Genomic DNA, 19,639 nt, shown 5'->3' on the forward strand with positions numbered 1-19,639 from the left:
AATGGGAAAGAGTTCTGACACATGACTAGCTAAGAAGGTTTTGAAATAAAAGTAAAGAGTAGGAATTCCGCCAGGTGCAGTGGCTCACACCTGTAATCCCAGCACTTTGGGAGGCCGAGGCAGGTGGATCACCTGAGGTCAGGGGTTCGAGACCAGCCCGGCCAACATGGTGAAACTCCATCTCTACTAAAAATACAAAAATTAGCCAGGAGTGGCGGCATACACCTATAATCCCAGCTACTCAGGAGGCTGAGGTGGGGGAATCGCTTCAACTTGGGAGGCAGAGGTTGCGGTGAACTGAGATCAAGCCACTGCACTCCAGCTTGGACAACAGAGAGAGACTCCTTCTCAAAAAAAAAAAAAAAAAAAAAAAAAGAGAGAAAGAAAAAGAAAAAAAAAAAAAAAAAAAAAATATATATATATATATATATATATATATATATATATATTACAAGCCTATGCTAATTACAGCAGCTTGGGACAGGAGAAACAGAAAGACTTATAGAATGAAATTAAGAATACGCTGGGTGTGGTGGCTCACGCCTGTCATCCCAGCACGTTGGGAGGCCAAGGCGGGCAGATCACCTGAGGTCAGGAGTTCGAGACCAGCCTGGCCAACATAGTGAAACCCCATCTCTACCAAAAAAATGCAAAAATTAGCTGAGCCTGGTGGCACATGCCTGTAATCCCACCTACTCAGGAGGCTGAGACAGGAGCATCACTTGAACCTGGGAGGCAGAGGTTGCAGTGAGCCCAGATTGTGCAACTGTACTCCAGCCTGGGTGACAGAGTGAGACTACGTCTCAAAAAAAAAAAAAAAAAAGGGTGCAGTGGCTCACACCTGTAACCCCAGCACTTTGGGAGGCCGACGTGGGTGGATCACGAGGTCAAGAGTTCAAGACCAGCCTGGTCAAGATGGTGAAACCCCGTCTCTACTAAAAATACAAAAATTAGTCAGGTGTGGTAGTGTGTGCCTGTAATCCCAGCTACTCAGGAGGCTGAGGCAGGAGAATCACTTGGTTCCGGGAGGCGGAGTTTGCAGTGAGCCAAGATAGTGCCACTGCACTCCAGCCTAGGCAACAAGAGTGAGACTCCATCTCAAAAAAAAAAAAAAAAAAAAAGAAGAATAAAATGTGTGTCACCAGCCCCCAGCACATCCCCTCCACAATAGTAGAGTGTAGGGTAGGGCTCTGCCTGCTCATTTCGCCCCAGGAGGCCAACCCTCCCTGATAGTCCAGGATATTTTTGGAAAAAAAAAAAAAAGGTGCTTTTCCGTCTCCCCAAGATCCTCAAGTTCAACTAGACATTTCCTATATAAATGTTTTGTTCTGCCTGTTCATTTTGGTGGGTGCCCTTTTCTCCCTTCCCCACCACCCGTGCTCCTCCCAGTCTGCCCCTGGCCTCCAGCCCTGAGGATCAGTTGAGGTAGGGTCCCTGGTATTCCGTACCCTCCTCCCTTTGTTTCTGTTGGTTGTCACTCCTGCTGAATGTATTGCTTTTTAATACTGTACTGCAGGTTTTTTTTAAATAAAATTGTTTGGAAAGTAAAAGAGAAAAGGAATAACGTGTGTGATATATTGAATAAAAAACACTTCATAGATCTGTAGTCTAGTGGGGGAATAAGAAAAAGTTTTAAAATTTTTATTTATTTTAGAGACAGGGTCCTGCCTCTGTTGCCCAGGCTGGATGGAGTGCAGCAGCACAATGATAGCTCACTGTTACCTCAAACTCCTGGGCTTAAGCCATCCTCCTGCCTCAGCCTGCCCAGTAGCTAGGACTAAAGGTGCACAATACCACTCCTGGCTAATTTTTTTACTTTTAATTTTTTTTCTAGAGACGTGGTCTCACTATGTTGCCCAGGCTGATCTTGACCTCCTAGGGTGAAGTGGTCCTCCGACCCTGGCCTCCCAAAGTGCTAGGATTACAAGCATGAGCCACTGCACCCAGCCAAAAATTATATTATTATTTAAATTTATTTATTTATTTATTTTTATTTTATTTTTTGAGACGGAGTCTCGCTCTGTCGCCAGGCTGGAGTGTAGTGGTGCAATCTCAGCTCACTGCAACCTCTGCCTCCCCAGCTCAAGAGATTCTCCTGCCTCACCCTCCCGAGTAGCTGGGACTACAGGCATCCGCCACCACACCCAGCTAATTTTTTGTATTTTTAGTAGAGACGGGGTTTCACCATGTTGGCCAGGCTGGTCTCGATCTCTTGACCTCATGATCCACCCACCTTGGCCTCCCAAAGTGCTGGGATTTCAGGCCTGAGCCACCGCGCCCGCCTATTTATTTTTTCTGAGACGGAGTCTTGCCCTGTCACCCAGGCTGCAGTGCAATGGCGCCATCTCAGCTCACTGCAACTTTTACCTTCTGAGTTCAAGTGATTCTCCTGCCTCAGCCTCCTGAGTAGCTGGGATTACAGGCATGCACCACCACACCTGGCTAATTTTTTGTATTTTTAGTAGAGACGGGGTTTCACTATGTTGGCCAGGCTGGTCTCAAACTCCTGACCTCATGATCCACTCACCTCGGCTTCCCAAAGTGCTGGGATTACAGGCGTCAGCCACTGCACCCAGCCTCAAAAATTATTATTATTATTTTGAGACAGACTCTCAGCTCTGTTGCCTAAAGTGGAGTGCAGTGGTGCAATCTTGGCTCACTACAACCTCCACCTCCCAAGTTCAAGCGATTCTCCTGCTTCAGCCTCCTGAGTAGCTGGGATTACAGGTGCATACCACCACACCCAGCTAATCAAATATTATTTTTTAATCCTTGCAAATGTAATAGCAAAAACTATGAATGCCCCAAGCTAGCTAGGGCTTAGGGAGGCACGGATTTGTATAAAGTGCTGGTGAACTTGTAAAGCTGAGGATCCACAGTGAGATATTTCTACAACATCCACACCCTCTGATCCAACACCTGCAACAATGGGCTTGGCAAGTAACTCATGGGGAAAGCACCTCTCTTGGCTGGGGCTTCCTCAACTATGGTGGGAGCAACACAACACAACTCATCCCATGAGATGTGGTGAAGATATCAGCTCTAGGCCAGGCACAGTGGCTCACACCTGTAATCCCAGCACTCTGGGAGGCCGAGGTGGGAGGATCATGAGGTCAGGAGATCTAGACCATCCTGGCTAACACGGTGAAACCCCCTCTCTACTAAAAATACAAAAAGAAAGCCGGGCGTGGTGGCGGGCACCTGTAGTCCCAGCTACTCAGGAGGCTGAGGCAGGAGAGTGGCATGAACCCGGGAGGCGGAGCTTGCAGTGAGCTGAGATTGCACCATTGCACCACAGCCTCGGTGATAGAGCGAGACTCTGTCTCAAAAAAAAAAAAAGTATCAGCTCTAGCCTGGCCCCAGGTGAGTCCACAAGGGTTATTCTTCTTTTTTTCCCACTATACTAACAAGGACGTGAGGGTTCTTTTTTTTTTTTTTTTTTTTTTTTGAGACGGAGTCTCACTCTGTCACCCAGGCTGGAGGAGTATGAAGGAACTGGACAACCTACTGTGTGCGTGGGAGGATCCAAGTCCAGTTGTATGAAAGGGCCAGGGCTCTTCAGGGAACATGTGGGGCTCCACTGGCCACACAGGGCACAGAAATAGCAAGTCACAACAACTATCACTTCGCAGAAGAGAATTACAGTGCACGGCCACCACCAATGACAAACAGATGCTCATAGTGGGACCCCAACTGAAAAGGATACTGTCTCAGCTCCAGGCTGCAGGGCTGACAGGAAGAGCCTCGAATGCTACCAGGAACTCTGTGAAGCCCAGCTGCCTCACAGCCCACGTGGGGTGCTGCCTGCACTGCTCCCTTCGAAGGCTAGTTCTGTCTCAAAGTGGCCCATAGCCTGATGAGGAGGCTGAGGCACGGGAGAGCACAGTATTGTGCCAAACCCCTACTGACTCCAATGGGGACGGCACCAGGTTCAAGAGGCCGAAGAAGAGACTAAGAGCCAGCAAACAAGATGTAGGGTTTTACTGGGGGCTTACATACCGGGGAGAGTCCAGGGGCGGTGGGCTGGGCAGGAGAACCACTTGCAAAAAGCATGCAGTTTATATGGCATTTTCACTTAACATCCTCCCCCTGGCAACCTTCATTTAACTGAAAGCAAAAGGCCAGGATCCCTTATACCACCAGCATTCCATGGGACAGGGCTAAGGACCCAGATGTTCCTCAAAAATAAGGAATGAATCTCTGAGATTCCTTAGCTGGGAACTCTGAACCACACTCAGGTGCGTCTGCCACACAGGGCCATTCTCAGGTGTGCTTAAGCATTGCTGTGGGGTGTGTTTACTATGCACACGAGAAGGGATGGGCAGGGTCGCAGTCTGCAGCACTGCCCACGGACAGCCCTTTGCATATGGCGTTTACTGCTGTGGGGTTCCTTTTCTCACCATCATCACCCCAGCTGTGCTCCCAAAGTTAACCCATGGACCACCGGCCTGGCACCACCACAACTGTTCCAGTGTCTGTAGCCTCACCTTCAGTTCCTACTGGGCCGAGAAGCCTTGGAGGCAGAGGCTCAGCACCCACACACCCCCACCTACATCTCCACTAGGCTTCGGGTAGCAGGTCCAACTCCTGAGACTGTGCAGACTCCCATTTTCCAGAGGCCTCTGCTCCCACTGCTCCCCACCTACAAAGCTTGCCCCAGGGCCTCTACACGTGCCGTTCACAGTGCCAGGGACACTCCTCCCCCAGTTACCTCCTGCTTGCCCTTCTAGCCTCAGTCCAGCAACCTCCAGGCTTTGTCAGATTGTGTATCCACAGCACTTCACAGGGGAGTTATCCACATCCACTGGCCCAGCCACCGCCTCAGTGGCCCACCAAAGACCCACAGATGAGAATCAGAGTTCTCATCTCTCTACCTCAGAGCAGCTGCGAGGCTGGCCAGCTCCTCCCACACCCTTGGCGTTACACAGACAGGGTCATCCCACAGGGATGGCTGAGGTTCTTTGCTGGGAGACAGGGAAGACCCTAAAATAAGGTCTTCAGGGCACTAGCCCCTGCACTCCTCCATTGCTCCTTCATCCACGCAGACATACAGACTTCTGTGAACACATCTGAGTTTATTCTGCCACTGCTACAGGGCCCACTGTCATTTCCAGCCCACTGAGGTTGAGGGTATGGCCAGGCTGGGATTCACACAGGCCCAGGATGAAAGGGACACCGAGTGTGTTGGGGTGGGGGTGGCTGGCTTTGATCCCTACCCCAGTGGGTTGGCCAGGTGATCAGAGCCTCCAGGTTCCCTCACACACAGCCTGGTACATTTCTGCCGTCAGGGGCCGGAAGGACTGGGCCCGGTTGTCCAGTACAAACAGAGGGTCAACCACGATCCCCACATTGAAGCCCTCACGCACCAACCGGGTCTTCATCAGTTTGAACGTGCTGGTGACCTCCATGGCGTCCTGCAGGGCAGTGACCATGGTCCAATCACTGTGACATCCACCCGCCCCCTGGCTATGATCTTCCACCCACCCACCAGGCCACCCTGGGCTCACCTGGATGCGGATGAAATGGGGGGTAGCGTAGGCAGGGAGCCAAGCGCGAACGTGCTGGTACAACTTCTCCCCGTCGAAAGTCTGGCCGGGGGCTAGCTGCACAGCAGCCATGCCCACCTTACCCTCACAACCTAGAGAGCAGTCTGGTCACTCTCGGCTGACCCATCTCGAGGGCCCATAGCTGACCCTCCAGCCTCGCCCAGCTCTGCTCACTGGCTGTGAGAGCCAGCAAGTCTCTAAACCTCTCTGGGCCCTAGCACTTCCCCACCTGTAAAATCAGAATAACGACCCCTCCACCCACAAAGCTGTTGGAAGTTTAAAATGAGAACCCTCCGCACCTGGCACGCACACGCCATACACGTTAACCTGTTGCAAGAAGTCCACCTGCGACAACACGCCCTCCACCTCGTGCGTGGACACGTTCTCGCCCTTCCATCTGCAAGGAGGGAGCCGGCGCTTGTGACCACGCCCCCGGGAAGGAGAGGCCCCGCCTCTTGCCCCCGCCCCGCCCCTTTTGGGGATCAGGAGGCCCAGTCAGCCCCGCCCCCTCGAAAATCGAGAAGCCCCGCCTTCGCGTGAGAAGTCCTGACTCCAAGTTCCGCCCTCTTACGACAGGAAAGTCCCGCCTCTTCAGCCTGACTCCCTCTAGGATCTGAAAGCGTCCGTGGCCCCGCGCCAGCCCCGCCCCGAGAAACCCTGCCTCGGACCGGAAGGTGTCCCCGAGGCGGTCGCGGAAGTAGAGGAAGCCTTCGCGGTCCATGGCCAGTACGTCCCCGGTGTTGTAGTAAACGTCGCCCGATTGCCGCACGTTGCGCACCAGCTTCCGTTCCGACAGCTCTCGGGGGCCGCGGTAGCCCACGAAGGGTTGCTGGCTTACCACCTTGGTCAGCAGCAGCCCCGGCTCCCCTGGGGTAGGAGCAGGAACAAGAACCCCTGGAGCCCACCAGCCAAGCCCCCTGCTGGAGGTTTTCAACAACGGTGGACTCTTCATCACCCAGCACCCTGCCAAGGACAGACCCAAAGACACAGACAGGGAGATCCAGAGATGAGAGAGACATTCAGAGACCTTGAGAGACTGCGACAAGCGACACAGAAAATGAGAGAGAAGTATAGAGAAGGCGGTATGGGGAGCCCATGAGAAACAGGAAAAGGATAACAAGGGATGGAAGACGGACAGACAAATGGCAGTGAGAATAGATATGACCAGGACCTTGCAAGGCCCTGGGAGAAGACACTAACAGAAGGTACAGGACAAGGGACCAATGGCTGGAATGCCGTCTTCCACAGAAAGCTCAAGAGAACAAATCAGATGGACACCCAGAGACCCAGTAAATCAGAGCAAGAGATCAAGGCAGGGGAGCTGGACAGAGCCGAGAAGCTGAGGCGGAGGCCCCAGATGGTGGTAAGGCAGGCCACTGGCTCAGGGTCCAGATGAAGGCTGCAGACCCCTCTAGTGAGCACCAACGTCAAGCTTTTGAGCAGCTCGTTCCAGCCAAGCAGAAGACTGAGGGTCGCCACCCCTGCCACCCAGGAAAGGCTCCTCAACCCCCATACCTAGCCCTACAGGGATGCAGAAGCCCTGATTGTCCCTCACAGGCTCCGCCGCCTCCATGTCGAACTGCACCAGCTCAAAGGGGGACAGCATCTGGGGTGGAGGGTGGAGTGTTGACATAGGTCCTGTGGGCTCAGCCTCAGGGCAGCTGCACACCAGGTACCCGCACACTCACTCGGAGGAGGCAGCTCATCTTGCCCAGGGCCCCGCAGCGCCCCACATAGTTGACTAAGCCCATGTTGCCTTCTGTGGAGCCGTAGACTTCCCAGATCCGAATAGGACCGAAGCGCTGCTGGAAGGTCTCCCACACATCAGCCCGTAGTCCATTGCCCATTGCCAGGCGGACTGTATGTGTCCGGTCCTCTGGTTGCTACAGGAATGTCCCCAGAAGGGTGAGGAGGAGGTGCTCTTGGGGCATGCCTTGGAACCTTTACCTAGAGGGGGTGTTATCCTGGGTCCTTACCTTGGGAGTTACCTGGAAGGTGATGGGGGACCTCTACCTAAGGGATCTACCTGGGTTACTTACATGAGAGTAGTTACTGGAGTCTTAAATAGAGGGTTACCTGCAGGGGCGACCTCAGAGCTTTGCCTGGGGGACGTTACCAGAGGTGACTGGAGGCCTCATCTGGGGTCTCACCTAAGAGTAGTTACCTAGAACTTTAATTTAATGGAAATTTAATTTTAATTAATTAATTTTTAATGGAAATTCTCATGATAGGGGTAGGGGCTATTATCCCTGTTTTCCAAATGAGGACACTGAGGCTCAAGGTAGCACAGCTATCAAAGAAACCATTATTGGAAGCCTTGTCTGAAACTCATTATCTGGGGTTCTTGCATGAGGTGTATTATCTGAGGGACTTGAGTTCAGTACCTGAATCTTTACCTGAGACCTTTACCTGGGATTTCATACTTGGGTGTTCACCATGGAGCCCTAATCTTAGAGCCTCACCTGGGGAATGTTACACAAGTACCGCAGGAGCTCGCCCACATACAGGATCACTGTCACGCCATGCTGCCGACAGTCATCCCAGAAGCAGGAAGTAGAGAACTTGGGGGCCAGAACACAGGTGGCTCCTGGGAGATGACAGGAGAGGGGGTTTCAGGTCATGCTTCCAAATTGTTGTAAGAAGCTGCTTTTAGCACCTGTGCTCACCCACCCCCACACCCTGAAATACAGGACAATACTGAGTTCATCTTTGTGTCCTTGGCCCAGCCAGGACTGCTCTCACTAGAAGAGCATAGGCAGGCCTGGGTTCAAATCCTGTCTCCAGGATGCCGGGAAAGCTCCGTGCCTGTTATAAAGTGAGCAATGCTAAATAAGGGCTGTAAATATTAAATTTTTTATTTTTATTTTTGAGACGGAGTCTCGCTCTGTTGCCCAGGCTGGAGTGCAGTGGTGCAATCTCCGCTCACTGCAACCTCTCCCTCCCGGGTTCAAGCGATTCTCCTGCCTCAGCTTTCTGAGTTGCTGGGATTACAAGCACCCGCCACCACAGCTGGCTAATTTTTGTACTTTTTTAAGTACAGACGGGGTTTCACCATGTTGGCCAGGCTGGTCTTGAACTCCTGACCTTTCAGGTGATCCACCCGCCTCGGCCTCCAAAGTGCTGTGATTACAGGCATGAGCCTCTGTGCCCAGCCACATTTTTAATTTTTATTTTGGCTTGTCACTGACTCGAAGCTCAAATCACTCTTGATTACGATAAATGAATGCCCAGCTAAGCAGATGGGTGGGCAGGTGGATGGATATGGTGGATGGATGGAAAGATGAATGGATGGACAGTTAGAGTAGTGAGTGAGTAGATGGGTGGGTGGACAGAGTAGTGAGTGAGTAGATGGATGGGTGAACAGTTAGAGTAGTGAGTGAGTAGATGGATGGGTGGACAGTTAGAGTAGTGAGTGAGTAGATGGATGGGTGACAGAGTAGTGAGTGAGTAGATGGATGGGTGAACAGTTAGAGTAGTGAGTGAGAAGATGGATGGGTGAACAGTTAGAGTAGTGAGTGAGTGGATGGATGGGTGGACAGTTAGAGTAGTGAGTGAGTAGATGGATGGGTGGACAGAGTAGTGAGTGAGAAGATGGATGTGTGGACAGTTAGAGTAGTGAGTGAGAAGATGGATGGGTGAACAGAGTAGTGAGTGAGTAGATGGATGGGTGAACAGTTACAGTAGTGAGTGAGAAGATGGATGGGTGAACAGTTAGAGTAGTGAGTGAGTGGATGGATGGGTGGACAGTTAGAGTAGTGAGTGAGTAGATGGATGGGTGGACAGAGTAGTGAGTGAGAAGATGGATGTGTGGACAGAGTAGTGAGTGAGAAGATGGATGGGTGAACAGTTAGAGTAGTGAGTGAGTAGATGGATGGGTGGACAGTTAGAGTAGTGAGTGAGTAGATGGATGGGTGGACAGTTAGAGTAGTGAGTGAGTAGATGGATGGGTGGACAGTTAGAGTAGTGAGTGAGTAGATGGATGGCTGGACAGTTAGAGTAGTGAGTGAGTAGATGGATGGGTGGACAGTTAGAGTAGTGAGTGAGTAGATGGATGGCTGGACAGTGACATGCAGAGGCAGGGGGGTAGAAAGATGGATAGGTGGCTGGGTGAGGATCGTCACGCCTGTAATCCCAGGACTTAGGGAGGCCGAGGTGGGCGGATCACGAGGTCAGGAGATCAAGACCATCCTGGCTAACACGGTGAAACCCGTCTCTACTGAAAATACAAAAAATTAGCTGGGCGTGGTAGCGGGCGCCTGTAGTCCCAGCTACTCGGGAGGCTGAGGCAGGAGAATGGCGTGAACCTGGGAGGCGGAGCTTGCAGTGAGCCGAGATAGCGCCACTGCACTCCAGCCTGGGCGACAGAGTGAGACTCTGTCTTAAAAAAAAAAAAAAAGAAAAAGAGAAAGATGGATAGGTGTAAGGATGGATAGATGGGTGGGTGGATGAATGAATGAATGAGTGAGGAAGTAGGTGAGTAGGTAGATGGGTGGGTTGGTGAATGTTTGTATGGTTGTATTGACGTATGGACACATGGATTAATAAGATATAGGGGGCTGGGCGTGGTGGCTCACACCTGTTATCCCAACACTTTGGGAGGCTGAGGGGGGTGGATCACCTGAAAGATCAGGAGTTTGAGACCAGCCTAGCCAACATGGTGAAACCCTATCTCTACCAAAAAATGCAAAAATTAGCCAGGCGTGGTGGCGCACACCTGTAGTCCCAGCTACTCGGGAGGCTGAGGTGGAAGAATCGCTTGAACCCAGGAGGGGGAGGCTGTAGTGAGCCGAGCTTACACCACTGCACTCCAGCCTGGGTGACAGAGTGAGACCCTGTCTCAAAAGAAAAAGAAAAAAACTGAATCTAACAACACCTCTAGTTAAAGTTTCCAATTTAACAAGAAATGCAGATGAAAGGGGAACAGAGACCTACAAGCAAATACAATGGGGAGACTGTTTAATTGTTAAAAACAAACAAACAAACAAACAAACAAAAAAACAGCCAATTGGCTGGGCACAGTAGCTCACACCTGTAATCTCAGCACTTTGGGAGGCCAACGTGTTCAGATCACTTGAGGCCAGAAGTTCAAGACCAGACTGGCCAACAGGGCGAAACCCTGTCTTTACTAAAAATACAAAAAAATTAGCTGGGCATGGTGGTCCACACCTGTAATCACAACTGCTCAGGAGGATGAGGCATGAGAATCGTTTGAACCCAGGAGGCAGAGGTTGTAGTGAGCCAACATCACACAACTGTACTCCAGCCTGGGTGACAAAGCAAGACTCTGTCTCTAAAAACAAAACCAAACCAAAACAGCCCATTGGAGAAATCTGAACATAGACTGGACATCATATGATATTAAGGGGTTACATCATATGATATTAAGGACATCATATGATATTAATGTTGTTACGTGTAATAATCACTTTGGTTACAGTTTCTTCAGTGCTTATATGTTAGAGATATGTACTGCAATATTTACAAGCATAAAGATGCAGTGTCTAGGATTTGCTCTGATATATTCTGGAAAAAAATAGGGAAGTGGCTGGGCACGGTGGCTCACGCCTGTAATCCCAGCACTTTGGGAGGCCGAGGCAGGTGGATCACCTGAGGTCAGGAGTTTGAGACCAGCCTGGCCAACATGGCGAAACCCTGTCTCTACTAAAAATACAAAAATTAGCCGCTTGTGGCGGTGCGTGCCTGTAATCCCAGCTATTCAGGAGGCTGAGGCAGAAAACTGATTGAACCCTGGGGGGGGGGGGGGGGCGGGCGGGGCGGAGCTTGCGGTGACCCAAGATGGTGCCACTGCACTCCAGCCTGGGCGACAGAGCGAGACTCTGTCTCAAAAACAAACAAACAAACAAAAAAGAAACAGGGAAGTACATGTGAAATTAAACTGGCCCTGGGCGCGGTGGCTCATGCCTGTAATCCCAGCACTTTGGGAGGCCGAGGCGGGCGGATCACGAGGTCAGGAGATTGAGACCATCCTGGTGAACACCGTGAAACCCTGTCTCTACTAAAAATACAAAAAAAATAGCCAGGCGTGGTGGCGGTCACTTGTAGTCCCAGCTACTCCGGAGACTTAGGCAGGAGAATGGCATGAACCCAGGAGGCGGAGCTTGCCGTGAGCAGAGATTGCGCCACTGCACTCCAGCCTGGGCGACAGAGCGAGACTCCATCTCAAAGAAAAAAAAAAAAAGAAATTAAACTGGCAGCATGTTAACAATTATTGAAGCTGGGTGAAGATACCTGAGATGTCATCAAACTATTTTCACTTTTTTTTTTTTTTTTTTTTGAGACAGAGTCTCGCTTTTTGCACAGGCTGGAATGCAATGGCTAGATCTCGGCTCACTGCAACCCCTGCGCCCCGGGTTCAAGCGATTCTCCTGCCTCAGCCTCCCTGGTAGCTGGAAATACAGGCGCCCACCACCATACCCAGCTAATTTTGTATTTTCAGTAGAGACAGGGTTTCACCATGTTGGCCAGGCTGGTCTCAAACTCCTGACTTCAGGTGTTCCGCCGGCCTCAGCCTCCCAAAGTGCTGGGATTACAGGCGTGAGCCACCATGCCCCGGTAATTTTTGTATTTTAGGTAGAGACGGATTTTGCCATGTTAGCCAGGCTGATCTTGAACTCCTGACCTCAGGTGATCCACCAGACTCATCCTCCCAAAGTGCTGGGATTACAGGCGTAAACCACTGGGCACAGCCTAAACTTTTCATAATTAAAAAAACAATTTGGCCGGGCGCAGTGGCTCACGCCTGTAATCCCAGCACTTTGCGAGGCTGAGGTGGGCGGATCACCTGAGGTCGGGAGTTTGAGACAAGCCTGACCAACATGGAGAAACCCCATCTCTACTAAAAACATAAAAAAAAATTAGCCGGTCGTGAGGGCACATGCCTGTAATCCCAGCTACTTGGGATGCTGAGGCAGGAGAATCGCTTGAACCCAGGAGGCAGAGGTTGCAGTGAGCCGACATCGCGCCATTGCATTCCATCCTGGGCAACAATAGTGAAACCCCGACTCAAAAAAAAAAAAAAAAACATTTGGCCGGGCACGGTAGTTCACACCTGTAATCCCAGCACTTTGGGAGGCCGAGGCGGGCGGATCACGAGGTCAGGAGTTCGAGACCAGCCTGGCCAACATGGTTAAACCCTGTCTCTACTAAAAATACAAAAGTTAGCCAGGCACGGTGGTGGGAGCCTGTAATAACAGCTACTAGGGAGGCTGAGGCAGGAGAATCGCTCACAAGTGCTCACCACCATGCCTGGCTTTTTTTTTTTTTTAACAGATGGACTCTCACTATGTTGCCCAGGCTGGTGTTGAACTCCTGGGCTCAAGTGATCCTCCTGCCTTGGTACCCCAAAGTGCAGGGATTATAGGCATGAGGAACCACACCTGGCCATGATAAAAGTTTGAAAACAAACAGACGCCAGGCGCGGTGGTTCACGCCTGTAATCCCAGCACTTTGGGAGGCCGAGGTAGGTGGATCACCTGAGGTCAGGAGTTCGAGACCAGCCTGGCCAACATGGCAAAACCCCGTCTCTACTAAGAATACAAACATTAGCCAGGTGTGGAGGCGCATGCCTGTAATCCCAGCTACTCAGGAGGCTCAGCCTCAGCAGAGAATTGCTTGAACCCGGGAGGCAGAGGTTGTGGTGATCTGAGATGGTGCCACTGCACTCCAGCCTGGGTGACAGAGCGAGACTGTGTCTCAAAAACAAACAAAAAAGAAACAGAGAAGTATATGCGAAATTAAACTGGCAACATGTTAACAATTATTGATGCTGGGCGAAGATACATGAGATGTCATCAAACTATTTTCACTTTTTTTTTTTTTTTGCAAGGGAGTTTCACTCTTTTTGCAACCCCCGCCTCCCAGGTTGAAGCGATTTTCCTGCCTCAGCCTCCCGAGTAGCTGGAAACACAGGCTCGCATCACCACGCCCAGCTAATTTTGTATTTTCAGTACAGACAGGGTTTTACCATGTTGGCCAGGCTGGTCTCAAACTCCTGATTTCAGGTGATCCAGTGGCCTCAGCTTCCCAAAGTGCTGGGATTACAGGCGTGAGCCACCATGACTGGCTAATTTTTGTATTTTAAGTAGAGACAGATTTCACTATGTTGACCAGGCTTGTCTTGAACTCCTGACCTCAGGTGATCCACCCGCCTCAGCCTCCCAAAGTGCTGGGATTACAGGCGTGAACCACCGGGCACAGCTAAACTTTTCATAATTAAAAAAAAAAGAAAAATTTGGCCGGGCGCGGTGGCTCATGCCTGTAATCCCAGCACTTTGGGAGGCTGAGGTGGGTGGATCATGAGGTCAGGTGTTGGAGACCAGCCTGGCCAACATGGTGAGACCCCACCTATACTAAAAATTCAAAAATTAGCCGGGCATAGTGGTGGGCACCTGTAATAACAGCTACTCGGGATGCTGAGGCAGAAGAATCGCTCACAAGTGCTCACCACTGTTGCGGGAAGTCAGGGACCCCTAACAGACGGACCGGCTGGAGCCACGGCAGAGGAACATAAATTGTGAAGATAACATGGACATTTATCACTTCCCAAATAATACTCTTATAATTTCTTACGCCTGTCTTACTTTCATCTCTTAATCCTGTTATCTTCATAAGCTGAGGATGTACGTCACCTCAGGACCCTGTGATAATTGTGTTAACTGTACAAATTGATTGTAAAATGTGTGTTTGAACAATGTGAAATCAGCGCACATTGAAAAAGAACAGAATGAGAGTGATTTTAGGGAACAAGGGAAGACAACCCTAAGGTCTGACTGCCTGCGGGGCTGGGCAAAAAGAGCCATATTTTTCTTCTTGCAGAGAGCCTATAAGTGGACGTGCAAGTAGGAGAGATATTGCTAAATTATTTTCCTAGCAAGGAATATTAACATTAAGACCCTGGGAAAGGAATTCATTCCTGGGGGGAGGTCTATAAATGGCCGCTCTGGGAATGTCTGTCCTATGCAGTTGAGATAAGGACTGAGATGCACCCTGGTCTCCTGCAGTACCCTCAGGCTTACTAGGGTGGGGAAAAACCCCGCCCTGGTAAATTTGAGGTCAGACCAGTTCTCTGCTCTTGAACCCTGTTTTCTGTTGTTTAAGATGTTTATCAAGACAATATGTGCACCACTGAACATAGACCCTTATCAGTTCTGCTTTTGCCCTTTGCCTTGTGATCTTTGTTGGACCCTGATCAGTAGTTCCGTTTTTTGCCCTTTGAAGCATGTGATCTTTGTACCTATTCTCGGTTCTTACACCCCCTTCCCTTCTGAAATCCTTAATAAAACTTGCTGGCTTTGAGCTCAGGTGGGCATCATGGTCCTACCGATATGTGATGTCACCCCCGGAGGCCCAGCTGTCAAATTCCTCTCTTTGTACTCTTTCTCTTTATTTCTCAGCTGGCCAGCACTTACGGAAAATAGAAAGAACCTACATCGAGGCCGGGCACAGTGGCTCACACCTGTAATCCCAGCACTTTGGGAGGCCGAGGTGGGAGGATCATGAGGTCAGGAGATTGAGACCATCCTGGCTAAATGTGAAACCCCATCTCTACTAAAAATACAAAAAATTAGCCGGGCGCGGTGGCAGGCGCCTGTAGTCCCAGCTACTGGGGAGGCTGAGGCAGGAGAATGGCATGAACCCAGGAGGCAGAGCTTGCAGTGAGCTGAGATCGCACCACTGCACTCCAGCCTGGGCGACAGAGCGAGACTCCATCTCAAAAAAAAAAAAAAAAAGAACCTACATTGAAATATTAGGGGCAGGTTCCCCCGATACCACCATGCGTGGCTTTTTAAAATTTTTTTTTAACAGATGGCCTCTTACTATGTTGCCCACGCTGGTGTTGAACTCCTGGACTCAAGTGATCCTCCTGCCTTGGCACCCAAAGTGCAGGGATTATAGGCATGAGCAACCACACATGGCCATGATAATAGCTGGAAAACACAAAAAGGCCGGGCGTGGTGGGTCACACCTGTAATCCCAGCGCTTTGGGAGGCAAATGCCCGCAAATGTGGGCAGATCACAAGGTCAGGAGTTTGAGACCAGCCTGACCAACATGGTGAAACCTAGTCTCTAGTAAAAATACAAAAATTAGCTGGGCGTGGTGGTGCGTGCCTGTAATCCCAGCTACTCAGGAGGCTGAGGCAGGAAAATCGCTTGAACCTGGAAGGCGGAGCTTGCAGTGAGCCGAGATCATGCCACCGCACTCCAGCCTGGGCGACAGAGCGAGACTCTGTCTCAAAAAAAAAAAGAGAGAGAGAGAGAAAATAGCCAGGTGCGGTGGCTCACACCTGTAATCTCAGCACTTTGGGAGGCCAAGGCAGGTGGATCACGAGGTCAGGAGTTCAAGACCAGCCTGGCCAAGATGGTGAAATCCCGTCTCTACTAAAACTACAAAAATTAGCCGGGCGTGGTGGTGGGCGCCTGTAATCCCAGTTACTCAGGAGGATGAGGCAGGAGAATTGCTTGAACCCAGGAGGCAGAGGTTGCAGTGAGCCAAGATCATGCCTCTGCACTCCAGCCTGGGTGACAAAGCAAGACTCTGTCTCGAAAAAAAATAAATAAATAAAAATTAAAATAAAAAAAAAAGAGAGAAAACAAAAAGAACAAGCTATGGAGAGGTCCCCATCTAGACTCTGAATCAAGAGTCCAGAGAGACAGCCCTGTGGAGTGCTTGAGAGCACTCCTACTCCAGCTGCCCTTGGGGCCATGTCACAAATCTGGGCCAGCATCCCCATCATCTCCTGAGCACCACACCTTCCTTGGATGCCTGTGACCATCACTCGTATCAGGTCTTGTCACCTCCTGACCAAAGCATGGCCATCAGGGACTGTGTGGGTGTCCAAGCTTCTGTCCATGCGGCCCTGGTAGTCATTGGTGGGTGTCCCTTCTCAAAAGTGAGAACACAGGGTGCTGGGTAACCTATGGTGTCTTTTTGCCTTGACAGCCCCACGCCGACACTTACTCCCGTGGTCCTGTAGACTGGAGGGATCCTCAGAAGTGGGCTTACCGAGATCTAAGCAGCCGAGGATCCCAACGACAAGTCCCATCACGTGGTACAGAGGCAGGACCGTGTAAACCACATCATCAGCTGTGGCCCCAGATAAGGACAGCATCTTGCTCATCTGCAGTACCCGCTCATGCGTGAGGATGGCTGGCTTCGGGAGGCCTTGGGATGAAGGCATGGCAAGGGCAGGGTGGTGACATGACAGCACAGAGAGGGGCCTGACCAGAGGGATAGATCTCCAACAGCCAGGCCTACATTGGGGTTTGAGGCTCTCAGAGAACAGTCAAGTATAGGGATTTGTGGTTGGGTTCACAGGCTGAATTTGGACTGAAAGTAATATGTCAAGATCAAAGGTTTCAGTGGCTGTTTACTGGACACAGGAAGAATTCTGGCATTGACCTCTCAAATTACATTGGGGGTCAGAGTTCAGGCCAAATATCAAAATCAAGTCTGGGAGCAGTGGCTCACGCCTGTAATCCCAGCATTTTGAGAGGCTGAGTTGGGCAGGTCCCCTGAGGTCAGGGGTTAGAGACCAGCCTGGCTAACTTGGGGAAACCCTGTCTCTACCAAAAATACAAAAATTAGCTGGGCATAGTGGTGTGTGCCTGTAATCCCAGCTACTCAGGAGGCTGAGGCAAGAGAATTGCTTGAACCCAGGAGGTGGAGGTTGCAGTGAGCCGAGATTGCACCACTGCAGTCCAGCCTAGGCGACAGAGCGAGACTCTGCCTCGAAAAAAAAAACAGCCAAACAAAAAACAAATGTCAAAATCAGAGGGTAAAGTGGTTTCAGAGGTCAACACTGAGTCACAAGTCAAGTGTGGGGTCAGGTCAGCCTGAGAGTTCAGAGGCTGGTGCTAGGGCTAATGGGCACCCTCACCAGTGGTCCCCGAGGTATAGATGAAGAGGGCAGGGCTTCTCCATGTGATCCCAGCACGCAGGTCAGCAGGCACTGGGTGGGAGGGCGCTGCATCCAGGGCAGCCCCCAGAGCCCCCACCCCTGGTGTAGGGGAGGTATGGCTGAGGTAGAAGCAGCGGATGTTCTCAGCCTGCAGCTTGGGAAGGATCTCCTCCAGGCTCTCCCGGAGGTCTGCAGAGATGGGTCAGAGGAGAAACAGAGGCAAGGCTCACCTTTGAGGTTGCGAGGCGGGATCTGAGACCCACAGATGCAGGCAGAGGAGCAGCTAGTAGAGAAAAGCATCCATGTTGTTTGGTAAAGAATCCCATCATTAGTATTTTTGGTCAAATTGTGGGAAAATTAAACTCTGATGACCTGAGAACTACTTTCTGCTCATAAGTCTTGATTATAATTGCCTGTGAAAGTAGGCAGGTGGGGACCAAGGGCCTCTGCCAGTCCCAGCAGAACCCCTGTCCTATAGTCCCTGCCCTTGCCCCCTTCCATTCTCCACTGGCTCCAAGGCCCTCACCTGGGTCCACCACCAGCACCCGGGCCCCAGAGCTCAGCACAGAGTGCGCCAGGGGCATCCCCCGGCCATGCGGGTTGATCCAGGCTGTTGGGCAGCCCAGCTTGGCCAGCCCCAGCCACATACACAGGGCTGGAACGGCCTGGGAAGCCAGCACAAGGAGGGCAGTAGGCTCCCCGGCACACAGGCTCGCAGGGTCACCCAGCTCAGCCTTCAGGGCCCATGCCGCCTGGCAGGCCCGGGCATCCAGCTCACCAAAGGTGACTGAGCCGGCCCCAGGCCCCGTCCACACCAAGAGTGCCCTGCCAGGCTGCGCTCGTGCTCGCCGCTCGAAGGCATCTACAAAGGTGTCAGGCGGCTGCCGGCTCAAGCATCCCCTGATCTTCAGGCCCAGGTGGAGGATCTTGGCCAAGAAGATCACATCAGCCGGCAGCCAGCGTAGTCCTGGGGGCAGCCGTGCTGGCAGGAGGGTTAGTGCCAGGGCCGCAGCTGCCAGGCTCAGCCCATGGGGCACCCAGGGGCCGAGCCAGGGCCGTGCTAACATGGCCAGCCCAAGTAGCACGCAACATGTGGGATCCCCCAGGAGCCAGCGCAGGGTCAAGGCCACAGCGACTGGCCACACTGGCTGCCCCAGGCCCCAGAGCAGGAGCAGCAGCAGCAGCAGCAAGGCCAACTGTTGCCTGACACCCATGGTACCAGCTCCTCCCTAGGAGCAGCAGCTGTGGAGTGTTCAGGCTCACCTCTGGCCCCTCAAGAGTAGCCCAATGGCTCCTCCCCAGGGGTGGTGGCCCTGGCACTGCTGACAGTGGCTGGTCCTCTCCCCAGGACTTTGCCCCCAGCCCTTCTCCTCTACGTTTGTTTGCTCTGCCTGGTCTTGTGTGTGGGTCCAGCCCCTCTCTGCCTGGCGCTAACCCTTTCCATCACTGGCCTCTGGGTTCCCAGGTCTCTGCCCCTTGGGCACCACTAGCCTCCTTCCTGCTGTCCTGCTTGCCCCATCCACCCTCCAGGGCTGGCATCTAACTCCCTTGCCTCCCCTCCCATCCCTGCTGGGTACCAGACACTCAGAGCACAGAAATCCCTGCCCTTGGGAACACTCCAATCAGGCCAAACAGAAAAGCAACAGGACAGCAAGGTGGACCTCATTGGGAGGTCCTCCTGTGACACCCACTGAAACCCTGAGGAGAGGGGCTCAGCCAGGCTAAGCCCCTTGTCCCATGATCCGAGGAATCGTACCCTCCTGCCAGGCATACAGCAAGTGCTCAGTAAATACAGGAACACTGGCATCGCCTGGATTCAAACCCAGCTCTGCCCCCCACCCATGTGCTTGCTCTGACTCTCTGCTCCACCTCTGGCTTTGACGACGATGGAGTCCTGGGGTTCAGGAGACTGAAGTCAGCCCATGATGCACACAGTTGGATCATGAAAGCCCTGGCCTCTCACCTTGAGGAAGCAGTCTCAGAAGGTGAACCCAGAGGAGCTGCCATTGGCCTAGGAGCCTGGCAGGTCAGGCTGGGGTATGGCCTGGGGCCATACCCCACTCCACCAGCTCCAAATCCTTATGGCAGGGCACCTAGGCTAGGAGCCACTATTGTGCTGAAGAGGAGAGGGGCAAAGAGTGGCTGCTCTCTCCGCTGGATGCAGGGGCCTGGGAC

General features: G+C 51.9%; 1 protein-coding gene and 1 long non-coding RNA gene across 5 annotated transcripts, besides 4 other annotated features; one reads left to right on the forward strand and one right to left on the reverse strand.

Annotated features, from left to right (window-relative positions):
• On the reverse strand, positions 5,056-18,715 carry SLC27A5 (solute carrier family 27 member 5). 4 transcript variants are annotated; one of them, NM_001321196.2, is made up of 10 exons: positions 18,243-18,715; positions 17,444-17,653; positions 16,570-16,728; positions 8,009-8,133; positions 7,235-7,429; positions 7,062-7,152; positions 6,215-6,413; positions 5,846-5,943; positions 5,508-5,638; positions 5,056-5,414 (listed from the first exon to the last, which is right to left on the reverse strand). In NM_001321196.2, the coding sequence occupies exons 1-10, from the start codon at positions 18,676-18,678 to the stop codon at positions 5,238-5,240; spliced, it is 1,821 nt and encodes a 606-aa protein (NP_001308125.1). In that variant the 5' UTR covers positions 18,679-18,715; the 3' UTR covers positions 5,056-5,237. The 4 variants fall into 4 exon arrangements, with proteins under 4 accessions (NP_001308125.1, NP_036386.1, XP_011524666.1 ...); NM_012254.3 differs by having other exon boundaries at positions 17,991-18,715; XM_011526364.3 differs by lacking the exon at positions 5,508-5,638 and having other exon boundaries at positions 17,991-18,715.
• On the forward strand, positions 6,234-17,846 carry LOC105372485 (uncharacterized). The gene is made up of 2 exons (XR_001754024.2): positions 6,234-7,451; positions 16,507-17,846. It is a non-coding gene; the product is annotated as an uncharacterized LOC105372485 (long non-coding RNA).
• Positions 6,282-6,341: an enhancer, noted in NCBI's record as "active region_15205". NCBI's record gives its function as "activates an Ori minimal core promoter by ATAC-STARR-seq in GM12878 lymphoblastoid cells {active_cell/tissue: GM12878}" and the evidence as "EXISTENCE:reporter gene assay evidence [ECO:0000049][PMID:35858748]".
• Positions 6,402-6,611: an enhancer, noted in NCBI's record as "active region_15206". NCBI's record gives its function as "activates an Ori minimal core promoter by ATAC-STARR-seq in GM12878 lymphoblastoid cells {active_cell/tissue: GM12878}" and the evidence as "EXISTENCE:reporter gene assay evidence [ECO:0000049][PMID:35858748]".
• Positions 13,323-13,536: a silencer, noted in NCBI's record as "fragment chr19:59017967-59018180 (GRCh37/hg19 assembly coordinates)". NCBI's record gives its function as "represses an EF-1alpha promoter that drives an FKBP-Casp9 reporter gene in an ReSE screen in phorbol 12-myristate 13-acetate-treated (for megakaryocytic differentiation) K562 erythroleukemia cells {active_cell/tissue: K562(+PMA)}" and the evidence as "EXISTENCE:reporter gene assay evidence [ECO:0000049][PMID:32094911]".
• Positions 18,418-18,932: an enhancer, noted in NCBI's record as "H3K27ac-H3K4me1 hESC enhancer chr19:59023062-59023576 (GRCh37/hg19 assembly coordinates)". NCBI's record gives its function as "activates a minimal SCP1, AML or CMV promoter by ChIP-STARR-seq in primed H9 embryonic stem cells {active_cell/tissue: H9 hESC(primed)}" and the evidence as "EXISTENCE:reporter gene assay evidence [ECO:0000049][PMID:30033119]".

This window comes from Homo sapiens, chromosome 19 (assembly GCF_000001405.40).
Source record: "Homo sapiens chromosome 19, GRCh38.p14 Primary Assembly".
Taxonomy (NCBI): Eukaryota; Metazoa; Chordata; class Mammalia; order Primates; family Hominidae; genus Homo; species Homo sapiens.

Bases quoted from the DNA above. Each gene is read 5' to 3' on its own strand.
- SLC27A5 (NM_012254.3), bottom strand. From the start codon at position 18,678: ATGGGTGTCAGGCAACAGTTGGCCTTGCTGCTGCTGCTGCTGCTCCTG. The intron at 6,414-7,061 runs GTATGGGGGTTG...CTCCTACCCCAG, and splicing joins CTGCATCCCTGTAGGGCTAG to GGGAGCCGGGGCTGCTGCTG. The intron at 5,415-5,507 runs GTGAGCCCAGGG...ACTGCCCTGCAG, and splicing joins CCCATTTCATCCGCATCCAG to GACGCCATGGAGGTCACCAG.